The 26562-nt window shown below is 38.1% G+C and overlaps 1 protein-coding gene and 1 pseudogene across 34 annotated transcripts in view, besides 2 other annotated features; both read right to left on the reverse strand.

Moving 5' to 3' along the window:
* FREM1 (FRAS1 related extracellular matrix 1) overlaps window positions 1–9630 on the reverse strand; it is a 173844-nt gene extending 164214 nt beyond the window's left edge. For 18 of the 34 annotated variants that reach the window (NR_163240.1, NR_163241.1, NM_001379081.2 and 15 more), the window contains exon 1: window positions 8549–9063. The gene's annotated coding sequence lies outside the window, so the exon portion shown is untranslated. Of the gene's footprint in view, window positions 1–7398; window positions 7697–8548; window positions 9064–9404 lie in introns of those variants that run through there. The other 16 variants (NR_163239.2, XM_047422846.1, XM_017014321.3 and 13 more) reach the window with 6 other exon arrangements.
* Window positions 5837–6377: an enhancer, noted in NCBI's record as "OCT4-NANOG hESC enhancer chr9:14907200-14907740 (GRCh37/hg19 assembly coordinates)". NCBI's record gives its function as "activates a minimal SCP1, AML or CMV promoter by ChIP-STARR-seq in naive H9 embryonic stem cells {active_cell/tissue: H9 hESC(naive)}" and the evidence as "EXISTENCE:reporter gene assay evidence [ECO:0000049][PMID:30033119]".
* Window positions 7327–7828: an enhancer, noted in NCBI's record as "NANOG hESC enhancer chr9:14908690-14909191 (GRCh37/hg19 assembly coordinates)". NCBI's record gives its function as "activates a minimal SCP1, AML or CMV promoter by ChIP-STARR-seq in primed H9 embryonic stem cells {active_cell/tissue: H9 hESC(primed)}" and the evidence as "EXISTENCE:reporter gene assay evidence [ECO:0000049][PMID:30033119]".
* LDHAP4 (lactate dehydrogenase A pseudogene 4) lies at window positions 19324–21066 on the reverse strand (annotated as a pseudogene).

Here is a 26562-nt window from a genome sequence, read left to right on the forward strand (position 1 = left end):
ACTTCTGTTAATTTTTCAGTGAAACAATGGCCCTTATCCCATACTCCTTATAACATTCTTTGACATGTTCATGGACCTCAATCTTGTTCGTTTCAGCCCATATTACTGCCTCCAGCTTTCTCCATGGGATAAACAGTCTGGCTTTTTCTACTCAATAACAAAAAATAAAAATCAATTTTTTGAGGGGAAAAAGGAAGTGACTCCTTTTTAAAAAATAAAATGGATTTTTTATATAAAGGGACAGTATGATAGTAATGCATGACACAGGTCACCTTTAGTTCACATGTCTTATTGTAGGAAGACCTCATTTAATCATCTGAACTAAAGATAAACACTTTAACGACTCACTTTTTGAACACTTTAGTGTCTGCAGAAAGAAGCTCAATCTACAATATAATTAAATTTGTTAAAAATTTCTCAGCCTTGAATTCATCATCTTACAGTGGGGATTCATAATATTGACTTTATGGGGTTGTGAAGATAGTTTTTATGTATTTTTTTTAAGAGATGGGGTCTCACGCTGTAGCCCAGGCTGAAATGTAGTGGCTTGATCACGGATCACTGCAGCCTTGACCACTGGGTCTCAAGTGATCCTCCCACCTGTCTCCTGAGTAGCTGGGACTACAGGCATCTGTCGCCATGCCTGGTTTTTTTTTTTTTTTAAGAGATCAGATCTCACTATGTTTCTCAGGCTGGTCTCAAACTCCTGGGCTCAAACTATCTGCCTGCCTTGGCCTCCCGAAGTGCTAGGATTACAGGCATGAGCCACCACACTTGGCTGTTGTTAATTAATATGGAATTTCAACTTCCATCACTCCTGGACAAGTCTTAGCTCTTAAAGTCTTAATGCCAGATCTCTCTGGCCACAGAGCTAACAATTCAGACTTGATGCCTCTGAGCACTGCTGTGAATATTCAAGCCTGCTGTGAAACACTATATGATCTCTGACCGTGTCTCCATTATCTCACATGGTTGATATCATTTGCCATTCTTAACATAGAAAAAAACTAAAGTGGGGGAAGGGATATGCAAGGACCCCAGAGTTTTCCCATCAGTGAATCCCATAGCCTGTGATTTCCATGCGCTATCAAGGGACTGGCACAAAAGCAACTTACAAAGCCACAGATCAGGAAATGTCTCTACTGGGGGTAAATGAAGACCAATATTTTCCAGTAAAGCAATTCAGCAACAATCCATGAGTGATGGTGAGGCCACATAGTATCTTGAATGCTAAATGGTACACCCAGTGCACTGCCACCTCCTAGCTTGAACAGTCAAATCAGCACCACAGAGGCTCTACGGACAAATGAGAAAGACAAAATTGGTTCCATCTGAGGTTTTTGAAAGATTCTGTAAAAGTGCAAAGCTAGTCCTTTAGTCCTGTCTGAGGAATTTTGTCACCCCATCCTGCTGCCAAACTCTAAGTCCAGAGTATATTACAAACTGATTTTTAAATGGGGGTTTATGTGGCTACATATTTTATTTTACTTCCTTTTGCTGTAGTAATGTCTTAAGAATTTGGAAGACCAGCTTACTGACACCAGGAGGAAGTCTTAACAGAATTACATGGTAAACAGGATTATGAATAGGATATAAATTGCAGTGTTAAACTCTTTGGGTACTATTTAATGTAATCAAATGGCCATTTAACTCCTATTCTTCTCTCACTGATAAATCACCCTCGAGTGACATTTTAATCACCAATCAGCACCTCCAGCAGCAGCTTTTTTTGATTGTTCCAAAATTTCTAAGAGCTTGAGACATAGACTATTTTTCAAAATTTAAGTAAAGTCATTTTTATAAAATGCTGTGTGGTCTCATTTAGATCTAATGTGTGAAAGTAGGTAGCAGAGGCCACAGTCATTCATGAGACCAAAGTTACTGAGCCATGACATGTGGTCAGCAGGAACCTGATATTCTTAAGATGAAGAAAATATTAAAAGGAAAGAAAATTATGAAGAATGACTGATGAGGAAAGCAAAAGGCATGTGTCTATAATTTGAAATGGATGGTTGATGGCTTGACTGCTGGGAAAGAGTGGGTCATTATATCACAGTACATTAAATGACAATGGATTCATGTTAAAAGGGGCTATTTTATATTGCCTGGAATGTCTTTGCTTCCATCCTTATTGAGATCCTTCCCATTTATTAACCCCTCAAGAAATGCCTCATTCAGGATTCCGTAAGACCTCATCATTTCATCTGGAAAGACTTCCTTCCTCCGATTGCAGGAGAATCATATTTTATTTAAACCCATCACAGGGCAGTTATCACATCCTACCTGGTAGTGTATATGCCTATGTGTTTTGAAGGCAGAAGGACAACACTGTCCGCTGCATGTAATATGAGTTCAACTTTTGTATAAATAAATGAAATTAGCAATTATTGTGCCTTAAGCAGTCTCATAAAAAACAAGAACACCAACACACATTGATATCTTTGAGCTCTTTCTATTAAAACTTAGACATTTCTGGCCGGGTGCGGTGGCTCAAGCCTGTAATCCCAGCACTTTGGAAGGCCGAGGCGGGCGGATCACGAGGTCAGGAGATCAAGACCATCCTGGCTAACACAGTGAAACCGCGTCTCTACTAAAAATACAAAAAAATTAGCTGGGCGTGGTGGCAGGCGCCTGTAGTCCCAGCTGCTTGGGAGGCTGAGGCAGGAGAATGGCGTGAACCTGGGAGGCGGAGCTTGCAGTGAGCCAAGATCGCGCCTCCAGCCTGGGTGACAGAGCAAGACTCCGTCTCAAAAAAAAAAAAAAAAAAAAAAACACTTAGACATTTCTGTGATTCTGGGTTATAGAGACTAGTGACTAGTTTCCTCCTTAAAAGGGAACAAAAAAGAGAGGTTAGGGACATCATTTTCTCATTAGAAATATTTAGAGTTGTGCCTTATAGCTCGTTTTTGGTTCTCTCTGGTTAAACATTTTTCTAAATCTTTAAACAAAGATATAGAAGACAAGCTTTATCCAATTCACAGAAAGCACAAATCCAAGAGGGTTAACTGTTATCACTGAGGACACAATCAAGATCCACAGCTTTGATAATCAGAGCCTGGAATGATGCACTGAGCCAGTAAGTTAGCTTCCAATAAGCAAAATTGTGTAACTCTACATTTCCCAAAAACAAGTGCATATGTATGGAAAAGAGCAGATCTGCTTTCGCAGCACTTTATTTTTTAAAATAGTCTGTCTTCAGATGTTTGAAGGGGAGTGACTTGATGGTTCCAGGGTGCAGAACCAGGGAGAATGTGTGAAAGTCTCAACTTTCAGAAAGGACTTTCCCTCAGTGCTGTCCAATAATGGCAAGAGCTGAGGTACAGACACAGAACAGGGTTGTTTGTTTCAGAGAGGGAGTGTGGATTAGGTACTTTCCGGGATCACTTTTAACTGTGTCCGACTGTCCCCTGCACACCTCTCCAACCTCTTCTTGCATGACTCTCCTCCTTGCCACTGACATGCTGGTCAAACTGGACTTCTTCCCATCCTTAAACTCACCATATTGCCAACCCCAGCTTCCAAGCCTTTGCAGGTTTTGTCCATTCTGTTCCATCTGCCATGAATGCCCTTCCCCACTGCCATCAACCACCTCATTTACCTGGCTAAATTCTACTCATCCTTCAGGCCTCAATCTCCCAAACCAGTTTTATCTGCTCACATGGAATCCTGAAATACACTTTGCCACATGTTGCATATCTATAAGCATTTTGTCATTATTCGCAGCCATTAAAAAAAAAAGTCTGCTGTTTCTCCTGGTCTATAAACACCTTGAAGATAATAACCATGACTGTTCTGTTCACCCAAGTTCTTTTAGTGCTGATCATTGAATCTTTCACAGAGAAGCTCAATAAATATCAGTTGAGTGACTAAATGCAAATACCAGACCTATTTTTTAAAATGGTGAGAGAGAGAGAGAGTGCACACTCCTCCACATGTTTGAATGAATATGTCCTTCCTTTGGTGATGGTTCGCAGGCTCACTACAGTGCAAGCCCAGAGTTTCAAATTCTCAAATAAACATTACCCCTGAGGGGCCCCTTGCTACAATGGAGCAAAATCTTGAGAAAAACAAAATGATGCATCTCCTTATGCATTTATCTAAAACACCTATATGAGGAGAATCAGTAAAAAATGAAGACAGAATGATTTTCACATTGCCCTTGATTTCTCAATACCAAACAATTTCATAGTCTTGAGCTCACGGATCTGTGTCAGGCTTTTGGTCTATAAGAATCAAGTGAGGGTCGGGGGCAGTGGCTCACGCCTATAACCCTAGCACTTTGGGAGGCCGAGGCTGGCGGATCACCTGAGGTCAGGAGTTCAAGAGCAGCCTGGCCAACATGGCAAAACCCTGTCTCTACTAAAAATACAAAAAAATTAGCCGGTCATGGCAGTGCACGCCTGTAGTCCCAGCTACTCGGGAGGCTGAGGCAGGAGAATGGCTTGAACCAGGGAGGCAGAGGTTGCAGTGAGCCAAGATCACGCCACTGCACTGCAGCATGGGCAATAGAGCAAGACTCTGTCTCAAATTTAAAAAAAGAAAAAAAAAAAGAATAAAGTGAGAACCAGGCTGCTGATCAGAGTTAAAGGCCACGGGAGTGGTGGGTTGAGATCTGTTCTCCCCAGACATTGGGATCTGGAATGTAACTTTATTTCCTGTTTCTCTTTTCTTTTCATCTATAAATTAAGTCGCTTGCCATGTTTGTTTTCTTTTCAGACATTATACTTGTATTAGCCGTCTCCCAAAGAAGAAATATTTATTAAACACTTGTACATCATGCTTCATAAACGAACATCTAGTGAGGTAAGTATCAATGACCTCATTTTACCCCTGAGGAAACTGGCTGAGTAACTTGGCCAACATTACAGAGCCAAAGAACATTGTAGCCTATGATTAGAACCCAGGTGAAATTTTTTCAAAGGCCATTATTTTTTCCTACTGCACCTCTCTGATTTAACATTCCGGCCCTTGCGTCAATACTGCCTTCTGGTTTTAAAACAATCACTAATGCTTATTGGGTAATATAGAACCATCCTACCATGTGATAATAAAAAGGGACATTTATGTAAAACAGAATTAAAGTATTGCTGTTGTGTTGTTGCTCTGTTGTCTTTCTAAGGTGTAGGATCACTTTAACAAAAAAGAAAAAATCTGTACTATGAAAGAGATTTGATAGGAAACGCCTAACAAATTTTAAATATTTGGGTGAATTTTCATCTGCGGTATCTATCCTTTCTGCAATCTTCCTAACTTTACTGTGGTTTGAGTTTGTAATTTACCAAATAAATCATTTTTATGCTAACAAGAAACGTAGGCCTTAGAATGAAGGTAGCATGGCAGTGGGTGTGGGCTAATGAGGCAAAGTTGTGGCTCACATATTTTAAGAGAAGAGTGCACAGAGCATCTGTAAGTACTAAGCAGCTGATAATGTTTGATAGAAAGCAGGGAAGAGTTCCAGGAAAGCAGAACACCCAGTAAAGGACTTGAGGCTCAGTCGCTCCCTGGGCATTTATCTGTCCTTTGTTGCTGGGGAGCCAGATAAGAAAGTTTCAAGGATAAACCTGAGAGTGAAAAGTGACATGCAATCTTAGCAGCCTTTGGATGATGCACAAAAAGAGCATTTTGGGCATCATTTTTTAATACACATTTTCCCCAAATATCATCACCTCCATAAATAGGCAGGTTTAAGGGAGAAACCAAAAACTATTTTTGGCTTCTGTAAAAACTTACCCATGAGAGGCAAAGAACATTTGTTTAAAAATATTCTAACTTAGCAAGATCCCTGTCCTCCAGTCAATAGTTTTCCACTCAAACATATTATCTTCAGACAGCTAGAGGCTATGTTGTCAAAAAGCACATAAATCACACCTATAATTTCTTATCTTGATGGCCAAGTTTTAGAGCCCTTTGAAATGGTGCCCCAGTCACTGCAGTGAGAGAAGCTGCATTACAGACAAAATATAGTATAGACAGTATTTCATTAGGGAGTGGGTTTTGCTTTGTTTTTTGTTTCGCTCGGCCCCTCAAAGATGTCTGTTTAAGCCTCTCACCTGGTAGCACAAAAGCTGTTGAATCACTTGAATGAAAGGGTCAGGTTGCAAGCTGTGCATGTGTGGAAGCTGTCAAGCCCTGTTCAGACCACCCAGCTCTCCAAAGGAGTAGCGACATCAGATTCAGACAAGATAAGAGGCTGCCCTCCTATGTAACCTGGCGCAGGGAAACAGCCTTTCCAGGGAGTTACGGGATCCCATTGTAAGGAATGGCTACATGCCCTGAAAAGATTACACTTGTCTAACTCAATATTCCTGTGGTCATGGTGCTTTGTGAGAGAAAAAAATACATCTGAAAATTTTTGAAGAAAAGCAATTAGCGAAATCTTTAGGCCTATTCTCAGAGTAAATGCTGAAAAGCTCTCATAGCCCATATCTGTGTTTAGAAGACTGAGTCATATCCATCAATGTCAGAATATCAGAGCTAGGAAGATACCAAAACTCATTTAATTCAACTTATTTTACTGATGAGGAAGTGAAGCTTTGAGGGGTTAGATGGCTCTTCCAAGGCTGGTTAGCAACAACTAAGATTTGAAACACCATGAGGACAAGGACCCTGCCTGTGCATGCCATCCCCAGTGGGCATTCTGAAATCCTTAAAAACTATCACAGAGCCTGGCATGTAGCAGGTGCACCTAAATGTTTGGAATGAGGAAAGAAAAGAAAGCAAGGGGCTCTGATGGCCATGTCCAGTTTTCTTTTTAATATAAATATTAAACGCCAGAAAATGCAAGGATGGGGATGGAAGCTGAGCTCTGACTTTCACATATTGTGAAATGAGAATTTTAACACCATGGAAGAATCATTTTCTGTTTCTTCTCATCCCTGTGGGATGGTCCAATCCAAAAATCATTTTCTAGGAATGAGGCTCCTGAACCATTCCATGAAATCAAGCTCAGTTTACCCAAACTCAGCCTCGCCCAACCCCTACAGCCCAGCAGCCCCAGGAGGCTGGGAAAGAATTAAGAACAGTCCTGGGTTTAAAGTTTCCAAAACAAACATTGCTTAGCCATGCGGGGGCAGATCAGGCCATATAGCCCAACATGTGAAAGCAGGGAACATGGTAGTCAGGTCCCTTTGCCCAACTCCTTTTTTCCCTCGTGGGAATGAAAAGGCAGAGATGAAAAGGGAAGCAAGAAAAAAAAAAGATGAGGTTGGTGGAAAACTGATTAAAAAGCCCTGGTTTGCCAGCCAAGCATGCAAAACCATGTTGCACATTAAGTTATGCTCAACAACAGCTCAAACTCAGGTTTCTTATTTAGATATAAGGTTTAATATTAACCAAGTACATGACAAGAATTTCATGTCAAGGACAATGTAGAGCAATGTTTACCCAAGTGTGACCCACCTGCTTCAGAATCACCTGGGAAGATTCCTGGCACCACTCCAGGTCTAAAATCCTTTGGGCCTGGGAACTGAGAACCTGCCTTTCACCAAGCAAATGGGGGTTCTTACACACAGTCAGTTTTGAGAATGCCTGATGGAGAGAAACAGCAAAGTTTCCTAGAGCTGCACTGAAGGCACCTTTATCAAATGTAAGCAGGGGGCTGAGGCACAGCTCTTCAAGCTTTACCTAGAGTCAGGAACAGCGGGTGTCAGTTTTCCAGAGCAGAAACCTGAAGAGCATTCGAATCACTAGCTCTGTTCTGTGAAGCAGCACCACAGAGGTTAATCTCTCCAGTAAGATTCCCAGGCTATAAACACCAATTGGCTCCCAGAAATGCTCTTTTTAAGCTTTGTAATGCACACCAAGCAACAAGACTGGGTGCAATAGTTTAAAAAAAAATCAGAAACTAAAATTAAATACCTTAAAAACAATAAACAATTTCCATAAGCCAAAAATTGTTTCCTGGATTTCAAAATAAAATGAAAAGAAACTCTTTACAACAGCACCAAAGTCTCTGGACCAAATCTCAGTACTGAGCAGAGAGAGCCTAAAAATCAGTCCAAAAACTTCAGAACAAGGCCATTTCTTTGCCTCCCCAGCACTATCTCTCTTCCCCACAATGAAACAGAAATCATGTTTTTGAAAATATGTCTCCAAATATAACTAAACTTAAGCAAAGGTATCCAGACATTATCTCATCCAAATTTCTCTATGTTTGTACCATGAGGATATTATCTGTTCTGTTCATTTTTGTGTCTTTTCCCTTTGCCATTTCATTTAGCTGAGAAGAAACATTCTAATTTCAGAGGAAACAATTACACAGTTAAAAAATGGTTATTTCATTGGCAAGTGCCAGCACGGATGGACTGAGAAGAGTTAGAAATTTGTGTCACGTAATAAAAAGAATCTCAGTTTTGGCATTTGGTTTGTTAACACTGCAAGTTGCCATCTTCTGAGTTAACAGGAGAGTTAAACTTTTGCAAGCCTACTCTTGCAGATGCTTTGCATTGTTACTTGGCATTAATGATATCACACAAACAATCTCTGGGGCATTCTGCTAACAGAACATTCACAGTCACAATGAAAAGAAACACATAAAACAGATACTTACAGGTAGTGGTTTTCCTTTCCAAGACAAAAAGTTAGAAACCCTTGGAACTGGCGGGCAGGATAAGAGTCACTGACACAGCAATCTGGTTTAAAGGGCTTTGAGAGGAAGGGGGAGGAAAAAGAACCCCGGGAAGGAAGAGAGCTGAAATTCCAGTCTTTCAGGTCAGCTGTGTTTGAGATTTCTTTTTACTAAAAATCCATTAACCCACCTCACAGAAAATACAGAATTGAAGTTCACATACACACTCCACTTTCTTTGCTGGTCTTCTCCAAGGCAGCTGCTGCAGCTTTGCAAACTTCCTGAGCGCCAAGCCTCAGGACTCCCTGTGAGAAGGGCATGATAAAGATGCCTTCTACTGTTTACACAGAGCCCGACCTCCCTGGCGGACAGCCACCGCTAGCCCCGTGCCTTCTGCTGGTTGGGTCCGCAGGGACAAAACTGAGCTTTTGTTAATGAGGTCGGTTGCCTCTTCCCAGTCTCTTCCCAGCTTCCTTTCTCACTACTAGTTTTGTACTAACTGCTCCGCCACTCGCCGAGCCAGAGCAGCCTCTCCCGCCTGCAGCACACAGGCACACACACACTCAGACACAGGCACACACACATTCACAAATGGGCACACAGTCACATACAGACACACCCACTCACAGAGGTACACACACAGGCACACATACAAACACGATAGACACACAATCACCACACACAGACACATACACAGGCAAATGCCTTCACATGCATGCACACATAGTGACCCACCCCACACATGTGCATGCATTCTCACGCATGCTCCACACACACACGGGGGCACACACATACGCACAGGCCGCACATGCCCACACCCACACATGTACATACTCACACAGACTCTTCCAACACACTTTTTTTCTGCCCTTCTTTTCTTCCAACACATTCCCATCTTCAAAGGTTTTTATTTAAATTTAGATGAGAAGCCCAGCATTCAGAAGGGACAGGGCCCGTTTTAACTTTTGTCATGGCATTTAAGGGAAAAGATAGGATGGAACTAGATCCTAAGGTGCTGTTTTTAAGTACCACCTTAGTTCTTCCATTTGTAAGGCTTTTTGTGTGTCTGGCTCTTTTCGAAAACCCATAAAAATCCCATTAATCTGATCCATTTGCATATAGTGCGTGATCCCAATAATGCAGATATATCACTGGCCAAGAACTGTCCTCTCAACAGAGATTCACATAGTTAACTTGTCAGTATTCAGTGGTCTGTGAAAGTCTTAATCCTTAACAACTGTTTAATAAAATGCTTTCCTGTATTTTATTCCCACCAGGAAAAAAAAAGATAATGGCCTACCATCTGGCCTTCTAAATTAACCATAAAGAGAGAATTTGAAGTATTAACTCACTTTGGGGGAACTGTTTATATTAAGACATGTCTGGCTATCCTAAACCTTTGCCAAAAATATAGAACACTGTGAATCCAATTCAACCTAGATGTGGTTTCCCGTAACAAGGTCACAACACCATATGCCTTTCTTTGGAAGCCATAAGGAAAAGAGAGAGGAAAATGAAAAAGGAGAAGAAAATTACATGAGGAAGGAAGAAAGAAAAGAGAAAAATGTAAAGAAGAAAAGAATGCATAAGAAGGGAGAAAAAAATTATGTATTTTAAAAACATGCTTTGTGGTTACTTTAGCAATGAATGGTGCATATACACTTACTCAAAGTCATCGGAGATTTCAAATCTTCAAGAATTTCTTGATTCATTTTATTTGCTCTGAGAATAAGTAGGTGAAAGTTAAGAATCACTAAGCTCTTTATAAGTGAACAGATATTATTTACTAAACACAGTTATTATTAAATAAATATAGTGACAATGTGTGAGTCATATATTAATCCTGAAAAGGCAAGAAATAAAGCCTTAATAATGACAGTTAAGAAACACAGCATAATAGACAATTTTATTCCCCAACTGATTTTCAAAATTGCCCAGGTTGTGAATATCTTACCTGCAAAGAAATGAAGATGGTTTTAGAAGCTGTTAGTTGAGACTCGGATTCCATTTGACAAAGGAATTGTATACTATGTACAAACGGTTGCATCAACATGCTTATTCTAACATCTAAATAAGGTTTATAGATTAGTCTAGAAACTAATAAGGTTTATAGATTAGTTTATAGATAGATTATAAAGTTTATAGATAGATTAAGAGCTAAATAAGGTTTACAGATTAGTCTAGAAACAGAGATAAATGTCTTTATATCACTTCTATGGGAAAAATAACTTAAGCATGCTAAGCAAAAAATAACAAACTTAGATTGTAAAGTATTTCAAAAAGTCCGCAGGAGATATAATCTTTCCAAAGTTAATTATATACATGAAGCTTGGCCTAACTGTGCTGAACATATTCTGAAATAGGCAGTTAAGAGTTAGATCAGTCAAAATGTCCTGAAATCTGAAGTACCTGTTTATACAAATGTCATTCCTTCTATCTGCCACAAATGAATAAGGGCCTGGAAATAATACAATTATCAACTTCAATCAATAAAATACTGTTTGAACAGATTGAAATGCCAAGCTAGGGAATTTAAAAAGAACTAGTCAAAGAAACAACAAAGAATTCTTCCCCTAAAAGCATGTGCTGCTGAACTTAGTGCTGGCACAAAATTCATTTTTAAAGAAATCATTTTACTTCTAGCCCTAGTTGGAGTGATAATGAAAAATATCAAATGTGTGTTGGAGATTGGCATATCATTTTGGATTGTAAATATGAATGATTTTTGTTGAATTGCTGTAGAATGTAGCATTCTCTGAAAGGCATAGCCAATGCCTTCACCAACAATTCATATAAAAAATTAGGAATGTGCCTATTAAATTTTGACGATGGCAGCAGACAGAAGTGTTATCTATTGCAACGTAAAGATAGTTTTCCACTGAGTCTCTAACACTAGATGGCCATGGGAAGCAATACTATGGCAAGAGAAGAGGATGAGTCCAGGAATAGAAAGGTTATACATACCACAATTGAAATAATAAACATGAAAACAAATAAATAAAGAAAAGCAATACAAACACCTCTGTGTACCAGAAAAGAGCAATAACACAGCCGATGAGAGGGTTTATAGGAAGAGCCTTGCTGACCTCAGACTTGGGAGCTGACAACGTGATTAGGGGTTATCAGGAAATAAAACCACCCCTGAGCAGGGCACAAGAGCAGCGTGCTCTGCTTGCCATGAGAGCGCTACCGGCCAATTTGACTGTCAACATGAATGCAAAATCCTAAATAACTAATTTACAAATCAAATTCAGCTCTGCTTTTTAAAAGACAACATGACCAATAGCGATGAATTTTTCTTTCAGGATTGCAAGGATGTTTCAAAATCAGAACATCTAGCAGTTTAATATATTAAAGAAGGAAAAAAGGCATGACTATCTTAATAAGTGCAGAAAAAAGACATTCAGTAAAATTTAATACTCATTCATTAAAAAACCAAAAACTGAAAACTATTAGCCAACTAGGTCTGGAAGGGAAGTTCCTAAATCCAATTAAAGACATCTTACTCCAATCTCCACAATTCAACATTGGATAGGAGATCCTAACCAACACAGTAAGTCAAGATAAAAAAATGAGGCATAAAAATTTAAAAGGAAAAATAAACCTTTCATTATTTGCAAAAGATAAGAGTCTCTGTACAAATATGCAAAAGAATTTACTGTTTGAACTATTCAAAGAGTTCAGCAAGTTTGTTGGACATAAGGTCAACATACAAAAATAGATGGCGTTCATATATACAAGTAACAACTAATTACTGAAAATACTTTTTAAAAGACAGCTTTTATAATAGCAGCAAAACTTTAATGAGCCTGGTAATTCATCTAAATTAATTAAATTTGGGTAAAATTTCATGAAGAAAATAAAAAATTAATAAAGGGCATAAAAAATCTAGATAAATGGGAAGATAATATCAAACTGGTTGAGAAGACTTAATAATGTAAAAATGTCAATTCTCCCAAAATTAAAATTTCAATGCAGTGTCAATTGGAATGCCAACAAGGCATTTTATATAAATATGTGTACACATATACACATTATGTACATATATGTTATATATGTATATTATATATACTATGAAATATATAAATTATATGTATTTATATATTTGTATATATTTTGTGTGTGTGTGTGTATGTGTGTGTGTGTATATATATATATATATATATATATATATATATATATAAAATGACAAGCTGATACTAAAATTTATCTAAAAGAATAAAAACCAGGAATGGCCAAGACAAATTGAAGAAGATACATTTAATGATTAATTTCCCTGCTAAATATTGATATTTTATATTATAAAGTTTTAACAATTAAGAAATTGTGGAATTTTCACAGTGATAGAAGGCAAAGAAAGAGTCTAGAAAAGCTTGGAAGCAGGTCACTCACATATAGCAACCTGGTGTATGACCAAGGTCAGAATAGAAGTCAGTGAAGAAATAATAGACAATCAATAATACGTTGACAGGACAATAGGTTATCCATATGGAAAACATAGCATCAGAACTCTACTTCATATCATATATCAAAAAACATTAGATCTTTACCTCATACTATACACCAAAACAAATTGCAGTTGATTTGAGTATCTTAATTTGATAACAAAGCCTTTAACTTTTGGAACCAAAAAAATCAAGGAATATCTTCTTAATATCAAGGGAAAATTTCTTAAGTGTGATACAATAAGTAAAGGCTATAAAAGAAAAACTTGATATATTTTATATAATAATTAAAATTTCCCATGGAGCAAAAACTTAAAAGTTTTTTTTTAAAAAAAAAAACAGAAATTGGGAGAAGGTACTGAAAATGAAAATAAATTACAAAATCTTTATGCTCAAAATTTAAAGAAGCTTCTGAAGCCTATACAAATCATTAAGAAAAAAATCTTAATATTCTCCTTTTATTAAAGGAGAAGACACACAAATGGCTAATAAATACATGAAAGCATCCAATTACACAAACAATCAGGCCAGTACAAATGGAGACTAAAAATGAGACTCTCTCAGATAAATAAAACGTTTAAAATCTTACAATAAATTAAATCTGGTAAATTAAATAAATTAAATCTGGTAAAAGATAAGCGGGGGGAAAACTCTTAGTTGCTACTGGAAGTTTTAAATAGACACAAACACTTAGAAAGTAGTCTGACCATTTCTAGTAAAAGTAAATATTCCAAAAACCTTAAATTAGGCATTTTAACTTCTAGAGTTACACTTAGATTCTCATATGTGTACAAAAAGTCTTATACCTGACATTCTTTGCCATTGTAATTGAAAAATATTGAAACAACCATCATCTAAACCAAAAAGATGTTGAGTAAAGAAAGCAAATTGCAGCCAGGTGCAGTGGCTCACACCTGTAATCCTAGCACTTTGGGAGGCCCAGGCGGGTGGATCACTTGAGGTCAGGAGTTTGAAACCAGACTGGCTAACATGGTGAAACCCCATCTCTACTAAAAATAGCAAAAAAATTAGCTGGGCATGGTGGTAGGTGCCTGTAATCCCAGCTACTTGGGAAGCTGAAGCAGGAGAATCACTTGAACCTAGATGTGGTGGTTGCAGTGAGCCAAGATCACACCACTGCACTCCAGCCTGGGTGACAGAGCAAGACTCTGTCTCAAAAAAAAAAAAAGAAAAAAGGAAATTGCAAAAGTACAGGAACATGCTTTAATAAGGATTACACTGAATCTGTAGATCACTTTGGGTAGTATGGACATTTTAACTATATTAAGTCTTCCAATCCATGTACATGGGCTGTCTTTCCAATTATTTGTTCCTTCTTTAATATTTTTATCAATGATTTGTAGTTTTTAGTGTACAGCGTATGAGACTTTCATCTTGATTACATTTATCACTAAGTAAAGAGGACTTTTAAAAAAAGTGTTTTTATAAAAAACTTTACATGGATTTCAAAAATTCTTTGCACCAAAATAAATCTGTACTAACTTGTTATAACATGTCGGAACGTCTAGCTTGAGGCACTAACAACTATAAGACACCAGTTTGAAAAGAACTGCTATCAGAGCAACATGAATTCTGCTAAAATTGAAATAAGAGCAAAGATCAAATTTACGGTGGAAGAATAGTGAAATCATTGGTGCTTTATGAAAAGTTTGTGGGGAAAATGCCCCCACAGAAATCAGCAGTTTGCAAATGGATAACTCATTTTAAGAAGAGATGAGACAATGTTGAAGATGAAGCTCACAGGGGCAGACCATCCACATCAAAATGCGAAAAAAAAATTCATTTAGTTCATACCTTAATTGAAGAGAATCAATGATTAATAGCACAGACAACAGTCTACACCATAGACACCTCAGTTGGTTCAGCTTACACAATTCTGACCAAAAAATTAAAGTCAAGCAAACTTACCATTTGAGTGGTGCCAAAATGATTGTGCTGTGATCGGCTGTAGACAAGAACAGAGTTTTCAATGGAAATTTTAAACAAGGAGGATCAAGATCCTGAAGGATTTCTTTAAATAATTACAACAGAAGATAAAACACTGCTTTACCAGTATGCCCCTGAAGACAAGGAACAATCAAAGCAATGACTACCAAAAGGTGAAAGTTGTCCAGCCAAAGCAAAAGCAGACCAGTCAAGAGCAAAGATCATAGCAAACTTGTTTCGGATGTTCAAGGAATTTTGCTTGTTAACTTTCTGGAGGACCAAAGAACGATAAGATTTGCATACTATGAGAGTGTTTTAAGAAAGTTAGCCAAAGCTTTAGCAGAAAAACACGCAGGAAAGCTTTGCCAGAGTCCACCTCCACCAGGACAATGCTGCTGCTCATTCCTTTAATTGAACAATGGCCATTTTGCAAGACTTTTGATGGGAAATCATTATACATCCATCTTACAGTCTCCAAATTTGGCTCCTTCTGACTTCTTTTTTTCCCCTAACCTTAAAAAGTCTTTAAAGAGAACCCATTTTTCTTCATCTAATAATGTTAAAAAGACTGCATTGATATGGCTAAACTGCCAGTATTTCCAGGTCTTTAGGGACAGACTAATTAGCTGGTATTATCATTTACAAAAGTATCTTGAACTTCATGGAGTTTATATTGAGAAATAAAGTATGTATTTTTTATTTTTATTTTTTAATTTAATTTTTCCACAATTTTTAAAAGTCCCCTCATATGGCATTTATTGTGTTTAGGTAAATTCCTTTTATACCCAGAAAAAAATCATCAAATTCATATGAAACCACAAAAGATTTGAAATGGCCAAAACAATCTTAAAAAAAAAAGAAGAAAACTGGAGACACAACACCTCCTGATTTCAAAATATAATACAAAGCTATATTAATCAAAACAGTGTGATACTGACATAAAAACAGAGATAGAGACCAATGGAACAGAATAAAGAGCCCAGAAATAAACCCAGGCATGTACAGTCAACTGATCTTTGACAAGGGTTACACAAATACGCAATGGGGAAGAGACAGTTCTTCAACTGATGGTGTTGGCAAAACTGAATATTCACATGCAGAAGAATGAAATTGGGCCCTTAGCTTACACAATATACAAAAATCACCTCAAAATAGATTAAAAACTTAAGTGTTACACATGAAACTATGAAACTTGTAGAAGAAAACGTAGGGGAAAAGCTTTATGACATTAGGCTTGACAATGATCTGTTGGATATAATACCAAAAATAATATAAGTAACATTGGAACAAGAATCACTGAGGAGGAAAATTCCAAAAAAAAAAAAAAAAAAAAAAAAAAAACGCCAGAAGTAACAAAAGCAAAATTAGACAAGTAAAACTACATCAGACTAAAAGTCTTCTGCACAGTAAACAAAACACTCAACAGATTAAAAGGTAACCCACAGAATAGGGAAAAATATTTGCAAATCATATTTCTGATAAGGGATTAATATCCAAAATATACAAGGAACTCCTGCAACTCAATTAAAAAATGGGCAAAATCTCAATAGACATTTTTAAATGGGCAAAAAAATTCAACAGACATTTCTTTAAGATATAAAAATGGCCAAAAGGTATATAAAAAATGCTTGATGTAACTAATCTTCAGGGAAATGCAAATCAAAACCGCAATGAGATATTATTTCACACTATTAAGATGGATATTACGTTATTAGTCAGAGTTCTCTAGAGGGACAGAACTAATAGGATAGATGTATATAAAAAGGGGAGGGGTTATTAAGGAGTATTACTCACGTGATCACAAGGTCCCACAATAGGTCCTCTGCAAGCTGAGGAACAAGGAAGCCAGTCAGAGTTCCAAAGCTGAAGAACCTGGAGTCTGATGTACCAGGGCAGAAAGCATCCAGCATGGGACAAAGATACAGGCTGGGAGGCTAAGCCAGTCTCATCTCTCCACATTCTTCTACCTGCTTTTATTCTGGTCATTCTGGCAGCTAATTAGACAGTGCCCACCCAGATTAAGGATGGGTCTGCCTTTCCCAGCCCACGGAGTCAAATGTTAATCTCCTTTGGCAACACCCTCACAGACACACTCAGGATCAATACTTTGCATCCTTCAATCCAATCAAGTTGATGCTAAGTATTAACCATCACAATTATAAAAAATAAAAGCAAAAGATAAATGTTGATGAAGATGTGGAGAAATTGGAACCCTTGTACCCTCTTGCTGAGAAGGCAAAACGATGCAGCCACTATAAAAAAAAGTGTGGTGGTTCCTCTAAAAATGAAAAATAGAACTATCATGTGATTCAGCCATCCCGCTTTTGAATGTATATCCAAAAGAATGGAAATCAGGATCTTGAAGAGATATCTGCACTCCAATGTTCACTGCAGCACTATTCAGAGTAGCCAACATACGGAAACAACCTAAGTGTCTATCAACAGATAAATGGGTAAAGAAAATGTGGTGTATATACACAATGGGATATTATTCGGCCTTTGAAAAGAAGAAAATCTTGCCATATGAGACAAGATGGATGAATCTGGAGGAAATTATGCTAAGTGAAATAAGCTAGCCATAGAAGGACAAATACTGCATGATTCCACTTATATGTGGTATATGAAATAGTTAAACTCATAGAAACTGAGAGTAGAAGGGTAGCTGCCAGGGACTTGGAGGCAGGAGAAACAAGGCGCTGTTCAATGGGTACAATGCTTCAGTTATGCAAGATTAATAAGTTCTAGAGATTTGCTGTACAACATTGTGCCTATAGGTAACAAGGGCACATTGTATTTAGAAATTTGTTAAGATAGATCTCATGTTAAGTATTCTTACAACAAAACAAAATGAAACAAAGCAAAAAACAAAGAGGCACAGGGAAATTTTTGGAGGTGGTCGATTTATCTATTACCTTGATTATCTATTATGTGCATATGTTCAAACTCATCAAATTGTATCTGTTAAATGTGTGCAATTTTTATATATCAATTATACCTCAATAAAACTATTTTTAAAAAGATGGACAGAATAATATGTAATTTTTAAAAACAAAAAACCAACACAATTGTTTATTTGTACATCTGTGGTAAAAATAAAAGGATAGATGAAAAAGATACATACCAATTTCAATTCACCAATTACCTCAAGGGCTTCCAGGCTGCTAGCAGGCTATTGTTTTATTTCAGACAAGAGGCAGGCTTTAAAGGAATCGTCTGCGTGAAGGCTTTGAAGAAGATGCTCCTGACTGGAGAGACACTGAAGGGACAGGCTTCCAAATACACACATGCACACATCGTGCAAGCATGTAGCTATTAACAACAAAGGAATCCTTCTCCTAGCACTTTGTTTTATTTCTGGAGCTAATGGTCCAGCTGGATCTGAAAGGATGAGGGATTCAGGTCCCCTAACTTTACAAGGGCTTATACTCAAATCATGTGCTTCAGTGAATCTATTTGCGCAAACATTTCCCATCCTCCATATTCAAGGCTATTGTGTGTAGATATGGAAACTTCAGGGTAAAAATTCTACTAATTATATTATCATTTCCACATTTGTCCACTAAATTCAGACAGGAAATCAGAATAAACTGACAGCTTCCATTCCACTCTGCCTTCACAACTGAAAATCAAACAGGCAAATGCTTGCATTTGGACACAGCTTCAAATGCTAGCATTAACTAGACATAAGAATTTTGCACATGCATTAAAAACATGAAAAAATCATCAGGAATCCTTTTCAGGAATCCTTTTTATCTCCACCTTTTACAGAAAAGGGGAAGATGCACCAAAGGCAACATAAAGAATTTAATTTTCAGATGTTTTCCATTTTAACAATCTGTGTGGGACTTGAGAGTGATTTAGTAATTTCAAAGCTTAGCACCAGCAGCAATTTTATTTTTCCAAGCATAACTCAAGGAGTTGGGAGTCTTTGCTTACTGACCTTAATTTTTTAAAATGTGACTCTAGAAAAATGTCCTAACTCCAGCTTTCTCAAAAGACATTTTGCATGATGAAAAATAAAAATAAAATCAGTTTTCGCACAAAAACATCATGGCAACTTAGCCTAAGTTAGAACACAATGAAATTAACAAAATAAAACCACAGGCAAAGATGCGTTCCACACATTAGGAGTAAATTTCACAATTCTACTAACAAAATCACAGACTGTTTGGAAAGCTGAAGCTGAAGCCACACACTGGTTGTGCCTCACAGAAATATGCTGATCCCTTCAACGAGGGTTACTGAACCTAAGTGTAGGCCAAGTGCTGAGTAGGACCTAGTGCCTGCTCTCAAAAACTTTACAGTCTAGTTGGAGAAGATAAGAATACATAGAAATATTATACATTGAGATATGATTGAGGACAGCAAATTATTATTGAACATATACACTCTTATGTACGTTTTTATTTACATGCATTAACTCATTTATTTATTTATTTTTTCACTGTTCAAGGTTTATTGGGGGTTTTAGTTGGTATAACACTTGGATAGTTAGCTGCATTGTTTACATGTAGATCTTTTTACATTATATGGTAATGTACACTGCTGATACATATAGTTCACAAAATAAGATCCTTTGGAACAATTATGCACAAGACATACGATATTGGATTTACACACTGGATCCCAGGATGTGACTGACTGGGAAAAAACGTTGGACTAGGCATGTTCAGTGAAGGAGCCAGGAAGTTATATAACACACGGTAAACATCCACCTGGCTCAAGGGGCAAATGCAGCATGTACAGCATTGGCAGTGGTGCATCAGAGGTGGCAGAACTACTTCACACTAACCAGTTTAGGACTACACAAGATTAATACCATCCAGCATCAGGATATAGCTGTGGATTTTACAAATCATTCCTATTTCTAACTTGAGGAGTTGATGTTTTTCCCAGTCCATCTTAAAATATTACTGCTTTAATCACAGATCAGATAAAAAGGACAGCATGTACAACCTCCAACTAGAATCCTGTTGTAGCCTAGACAGTAAAATGATATGACATCAGAAGACTTTAAAATTGCAGCTCTTTTTGGATCCCCCAAAGTGTATCTGCACTCTTCTTCAAACAGGCCTCTTCCTCAGGAGTCAGAGTCACTTTCACAAGGTCTGAGATTCCATTCTGTCCCAAAATGCAAGGAACCCTAAGGACGACATCATCCTTTATTCCATAGAGACCCTTAATCATGGTGAAAACTGGGTGCACCTGCCTAAGATTCTTCACTGTACCTCTGCCAAATCTGCTACAGAGAGTCCAATGGCCCAGGATGTGTAGCCTTTGAGTTTGATCACCTCATAAGCACTCTCAACCACCAGTTTGTGAACCTCTTTCCACTGTTCCTTATGTTTATCAGTCTCTAAATCTGGGTGCGGAGTCTTCAGGGAGACACCAGCAACATTCTTTCCACTCCATACAGGTGCACTGGAATCTCCATGTTCCCCAAGGACCCACCCATGACAGCTTAATGGGTGAACTCCCAGCCTTTCCCCCATCAGGTAACGGAATTGGGCTGAATCCAGATTGCAACCACTTCCAATAACATGGTTTTTGGGAAAACCACTTATCTTCCAAGCCACGTAGGTCAAGATATCCACTGGATTTGAAACAATAAGCAACTTGCAGTTCGGGCTGTATTTTACAACATTAAGAATGATGAACTTAAAGATGTTCACGTTACGCTGGACCAAATTGAGACGGCTTTCTTCCTCTTGCTGACATGTCCCAGCCATGATAATTACCAGTTTGGAGTTTGCAGTTCCATTATAGTCTTTGCCAGAGACAATCTTTGGTGTTCTAAGGAAAAGGCTGCCATGTTGGAGATCCATCATCTCTCCCTTCAATTTGTCTTCGATGACATCAACAAGATCAAGTTCATCTGCCAAGTCCTTCATTAAGATATTGATGGCACAGGCCATGCCAACAGCACCAACCCCAACAACTGTAATCTTATTCTGGGCGGTCTGTTCTTCCTTTAGAAGATTATGAAGCAGCTGATCCTTGAGAGTTGCCACATTGGACTTGGAACCAAAAGGAATCAGGAATGCACATCAGGCAGTCGTCGGGGCGTGTGGCAATGAGATCTGGAATCAGCGGCAGTGGCTGCAGCACTCCCATTATTAACTCATTTAACCCTGACAACAACCCTACTACCTTGAGTGGATCTAGGGACTTAAATAATAGCATCAGTTCTTTCTCTCTCTATCAGCAAGCTCTGTCTCCACATTACTTTGCATATTAACCTTATTTGCTCCTAGTGTAACACAGGCTTTTTCATGGGAAAGAAGAATAGCAGCAATGTAGGCCTGCATACCTATGACTTGTGAACCAAAAAGAAGAGAGTCATCGTTCATAACAGTTTTAGCAAAAAAAAAAAAAAAAAAAAAAAAAAAAAAGACAGAACAACAGGGGAAGGAGTGGGGGCTTTGGATGTGGACACATCAGAATCACATGGGGTGGGAAAAGATTTTAGAAATGGTAGCAGGGAAGAGGGATAGGAAAGCTGGTCAGGCACCATAACATATGTCTAATTCAATCTTTGAGGCAAGAGGGAGCTACTAAAGGGTTTTGAGTAGGGGAGAGACATAGCACTAATCACTCAGACAGTGAGTGAACCTTACCCCCAGCCCAGAATCTACAGCTCACCAGAGCTTTGCTATTCTCATCTAATGCATGATCTTCATTAATCTTCAAAACGAACATTTGAAGAAAGTACTCTTTCCCCCACTTTAAAGGTGAAGAAATTAAATGGTATCTTGAGAGACTTGTAAATGTCAAGTGTCTAATGTATGATAACCATTACGAGTAGTTCTCTAAAGATTTGTGAATGAATAGGTTGAATACTAATATCTATTACATTTCTGGCCTTATGTTAAGTACTGATTAGGGTGGAGAAAGTGATATACATTATGTGGCCCTCACTCCCAAAGAACCTGCAGTGCTGTTGAGGAGATAAGATTTATACACTAACACCTGCCACACAAAATAGAGAATAATACCAGGTAATAAATACAAATTATACCAAGAGATTTGTTGGCCAAGTAGGGTCTCTCTGAGGAGGTGACACTTTATCAAAACCCTGGATAAAGTGAAGATTCTGGGGATGAGGAAAGCCCAGGCAGTTAGCTGCTAAAAGGAGACTTAGAGATTTTCCAATTTAAATTATGGGTTTTGAATATTTTTTAAGCATTGAAATCATTTTGTAAATAAACATTTTGGTAGTATCCTAACACATAAAACAGAAATAAGTAGATCTCTTTGTTTGGAAAGTAGCGGTGGAGGACCAAGTGTCCCCGGCTCTTGGATTTTTGCATTCTGCAATTCAGGGCACCTCCTAGAATCTCCAAGATCCCAAGTAACACTGTCTGGGGGAAAAAAGTGTTTAAATATGAAATCCTTATTTGACAGATGGGTAAACCAAGACCAAGAGACTAAGTCACTTGCCTTAGAAATCACAGCTACTTAGTAGTGGTTCTGAGTACAGAACTCGTAACTCCTCCCTCAGAAAATAAGACTCTTTCTACCACACTCCATTCCTTCATTCCATAAGTATCTATTAACCTCCAACAATGCCTCAGGCACCAGCTTCATCACTGAAGAAAATGCAATGAGAAAAAAAAACAACATGCCACTGGCCTTATGCTGTATTCATTTCCTATATTAAAAAATAAGCACAAAACTAAATACTTAATTATGAATTGTGGTAAGTCCAACAAATAAATGTGCCCTAAAGCATCGTAATATGCCCTTCATAAGACTAGGAACAGAAAAGAGATTTATCACATGGGCTATAGGAAGGTTTTGTCTTAAGAATTTACATTCTTAGTAATAAGCCTCCCCCACGTGACATATGTTGACTCTTTGTATTTTAATAAAGACTTTTCATGATTGAATTCATGCTCACACATCTGCTTTGTCCATCACACTGAAAAGACTTTAACTTAAATCTAGCCACCAAGTCAGGTGCATTGATTTGAATAAATGCTGTGTACTGAAACGCCTTTCTTTTCCTGCAGTATTTACCCAGCATCTAACTATTGACATTTTTCTCTACTTAACATATATGGAGATGACCCTTCTCTCCTCCTTTCCTTAGGGAGTACACACTTTGCAATTGGAAGGAAAATTACATTCTTCAGTCAGATTGAAAATCAATGACATCGCTGGTCACAATCCCCAGGGAGTTTCTCAAGGAGAAAAGACAGTCTTAAGAATTCCACAAGAAGAAATTGGAACATCGTGCATTATTAGTGGGATTATAAAATGGTGATACTTCTGTGGAAAATAGTATGGAAATTCTTCAAAAAATTAAAAATAAAACTATCATATAATCCAGCCATCCCACTTCTGGGCATATAGCCAAAAGAATTAAAAGCAGTCTTGAAGTGATATTTTAACACCCATGCTCATCAGAACATTCGTCACAATAGCCAAGACATGGAAGCAACGTAAACATCCACAGATGGACAAATGGATTAACAAATGTGATTTATTCATGCAATGGAATATTATTCACCCTTTAGAAGAAAGGGAAGTCTTGCATATGCTACAATGTGGGAGAACCTTGAGGATATTATGCTAAATGAAATAAGTCAGTCACAAAAAGACAAATACTGTTTGATTCCATTTATATGAAGTGTCTAAAGTAGTCAAATTTATAGAAACCGAAAGTAGAATGGTGGTTACCGGGACTGGTGGGAGGCAGAGAGGGGTGTTGCTTAATGGGTATGGAATTTCAGCTTCTGCAAGATGAAAAAGTTCTGGAGATCTATTTCACAACAGTATGAATATACTTAACAAGCCTGAAATCACTTAGGATCTGGCATTATTTGAAGAATGACCAGCTATGCAATGAACTTTATCCTTGTTTCTTTAAAAACATGTCTTTACTTACAAGTACAGTTATGATAGGTTCCCAACTTACAGTCAACTCACTCAACCAAATATGTTTGAGGTAGGGGGTGGGAGTATGATAAAAAATGCTTTTTTCTAAAAGTTTCTTTGTTCAGAGTTTCAAATTATCTCTCATTACTTCTAGATCTCAAAGATGGGGTCTCACTCTGTCGCCCAGGCTGGAGTACAGTGGCGCGATCTCAGCTCACTGCAACCTCCGCCTCCCATGTTCAAGCCTCAGCCTGCCTCAGCCTCCTGAGTAGCTGGGACTACAGGTATGTGCTGCCACACCCAGCTAATTTTTGTATTTTTTAGTAGAGATGGGGTTTCACCATATTGGCCGGGCTGGTCTTCAACTACTGACCTTGTGATCTGCCCGCCTGGACCTCCCAAAGTGCTGGGATTACAGGCGTGAGCCACTGCACTGGGCCTAATTAAATATTTTTTTAAATAGATGACACTTCCCCATGTCTAGGAATCTTTTGGAGGTCTTCTTTGGAATTATATCAAAAATACTTCTCAAACTTTTTGTTCATAAAGTGGACTTGGCTCTAAACAGAAAGTAAAAGACAACTATAAGGCGGCTTCTCTAGAGTCTACAGACCCTTTCTCTAATTTTTTAGCTATAAGCAGTTGACCTTACATATTTTATTTCACCTTTTAACTTCATGACTAAGTTTTCCCGTATGAAATGGGGGTGAAAAAAGAATATACAATTTCAGAAAGCCACACCAGCACTTCAGACACAAATTATATACACTAAACCTTGTTCACAAGAGGCTGCAAAAATTTAGTTAAGCCTTTCTTTAATTTCTGCACTGTATACTTCTGTGTTTTGCACAGCCCATTTAGTACACTATGCTTTTAATGTTATCTATTTTTTAGCCCAATAATTCATAGGAATTATATAAACTATGTAACTTCAATTGTATGACACTTCTCACTGCATCTTGCCCTGGTAAGCATGTAAGAAATGGCATTGATGATGGTGCAATTTGGGTTCATGCTCTAAACAATGTCACAGAAGTATCTGAGCTCTCTTTGCTGGCATCAGTAAAAATGTAGTTAGGAAATAAACTCTGGAAGCCACACTAGACAACCACTGAAGACACACTGGAGATGGCTAAGCAGAAGCACAGGTGCCATTGAAAAGACATGGTCTAAGTGGACTGATCACTTTGGGCTGCTTTTCTTTGCTTTTATTCTATAGCATTAAGTCAATTCATTCATTCATCTAACATTTATTAAACACTAAGCATATGTTAACCACTACTTTGGTGCTGGAAGTAAAACAATGAATATAATGTATACAATGAACTATTAAAAGCCTGGGATTTTACCCTACTTGCAAGCTAACAAATTAGCTTGCCACATTTACTTGAATGCTGGCAGAAGACACAAAACTTGTGAGTTTGAGACAAAGAACAGTTTATCACGCGTAGCAATAGTAGCAGTAACCAGTGTATTAACATTTGCACCACTTACCTAAAATTCAACCACAGGACAATGTAAGGAAGGTCATATAATACCTGCATCTGCAGTAGTACGCATTATAAGATACCATGGGAGGATCAAGGATGGGCTAAGAGAAACATTCAGAGAAGGCTTCTCCGAGGACATAAATGCCAGGGCTGATGCTACAAGGAGGAATAGGAAGGAGCAGATACAGAAAACCAGATGGGTCATTTTAACCAGCAGTCTTTCTAAGACCACAGGCATGGGTATGTGAGTAGTTTGCTACAAGTAGAAAAATCACAAGCTGGGAGTCACTGAAGCTTAAAGCAGAAGGCCAAGGGTAAAGGAAGATGAAGTGAGATAGGCAAGCAAGACCTAGAGTTTGGAGAGCCTTTGATATCTTGCCAAAGAGCTTAGTCTTTTCCCTGTTGGCATTGGAGAGCCACTGGACGTCATAAGCAAATAGGTTTGCACTGGATAGATAATGCTAAACAGAAAGGCATCCATGTCTTTGGCATATTGCTGTGACTCTGATATGATATAGCAAGTCCCCAGCAATCTCCAGCAACCTCTGATAACACACAGCAAACGATGTGTGTGGTTGCCATCAACCATCCTTGTGCATTCTTTGATAATTCAGTAGGGCTGTTTGCACTTCTGAGTCCTGACAAGTGTGCTCTCACTCTCACATTCACCCTATGTCTCCAACAGTGTACCAGAGCTGTGTTTCTTGCAGCATACTTACCAACCCCCACTGTCTTCAGAGTAGTTTTATCTTGTTCCCTGGGGTTTTAACAGTCACTGATAAAGATATCTAATTCAGCATTTTTCTATAATCTAATTTCCTCCTCTGACAAATGCTGTCACTGAAAAATGATGGAGAATTTCCTGACGCCTTCTGTTTTCCTTACTGAGGCCCCTCTAGAGCATTTTGGCATGTGTTATTGATGGGGCCCCTGAATACTGGGAAGAGTGCTGATACCACAGTTTCTAATCATGGATAGAAACTAAGGCCTGGGTAGGGGGTCTTTTTAATCATCTATTTCCAAGAAATGGGAACGTAAATTTTTTTAGAATTCTTCGACTTAGATCCAGTGGGTCCTTTAATTAGACATCACCAGAAGTTGTTTGGACATAAAATATACCCTAGATACTTTGTCATCACTAAATGTTACAAAATGGCACCTAGATCTGTCACAACTCTAATTATGAGGGATCAAAAAGGCCTGACTTGATCTCAGAAACTTCAGCCTCCCAAAA

Source organism: Homo sapiens, chromosome 9 (genome assembly GCF_000001405.40).
Source record: "Homo sapiens chromosome 9, GRCh38.p14 Primary Assembly".
NCBI lineage: Eukaryota > Metazoa > Chordata > Mammalia > Primates > Hominidae > Homo > Homo sapiens.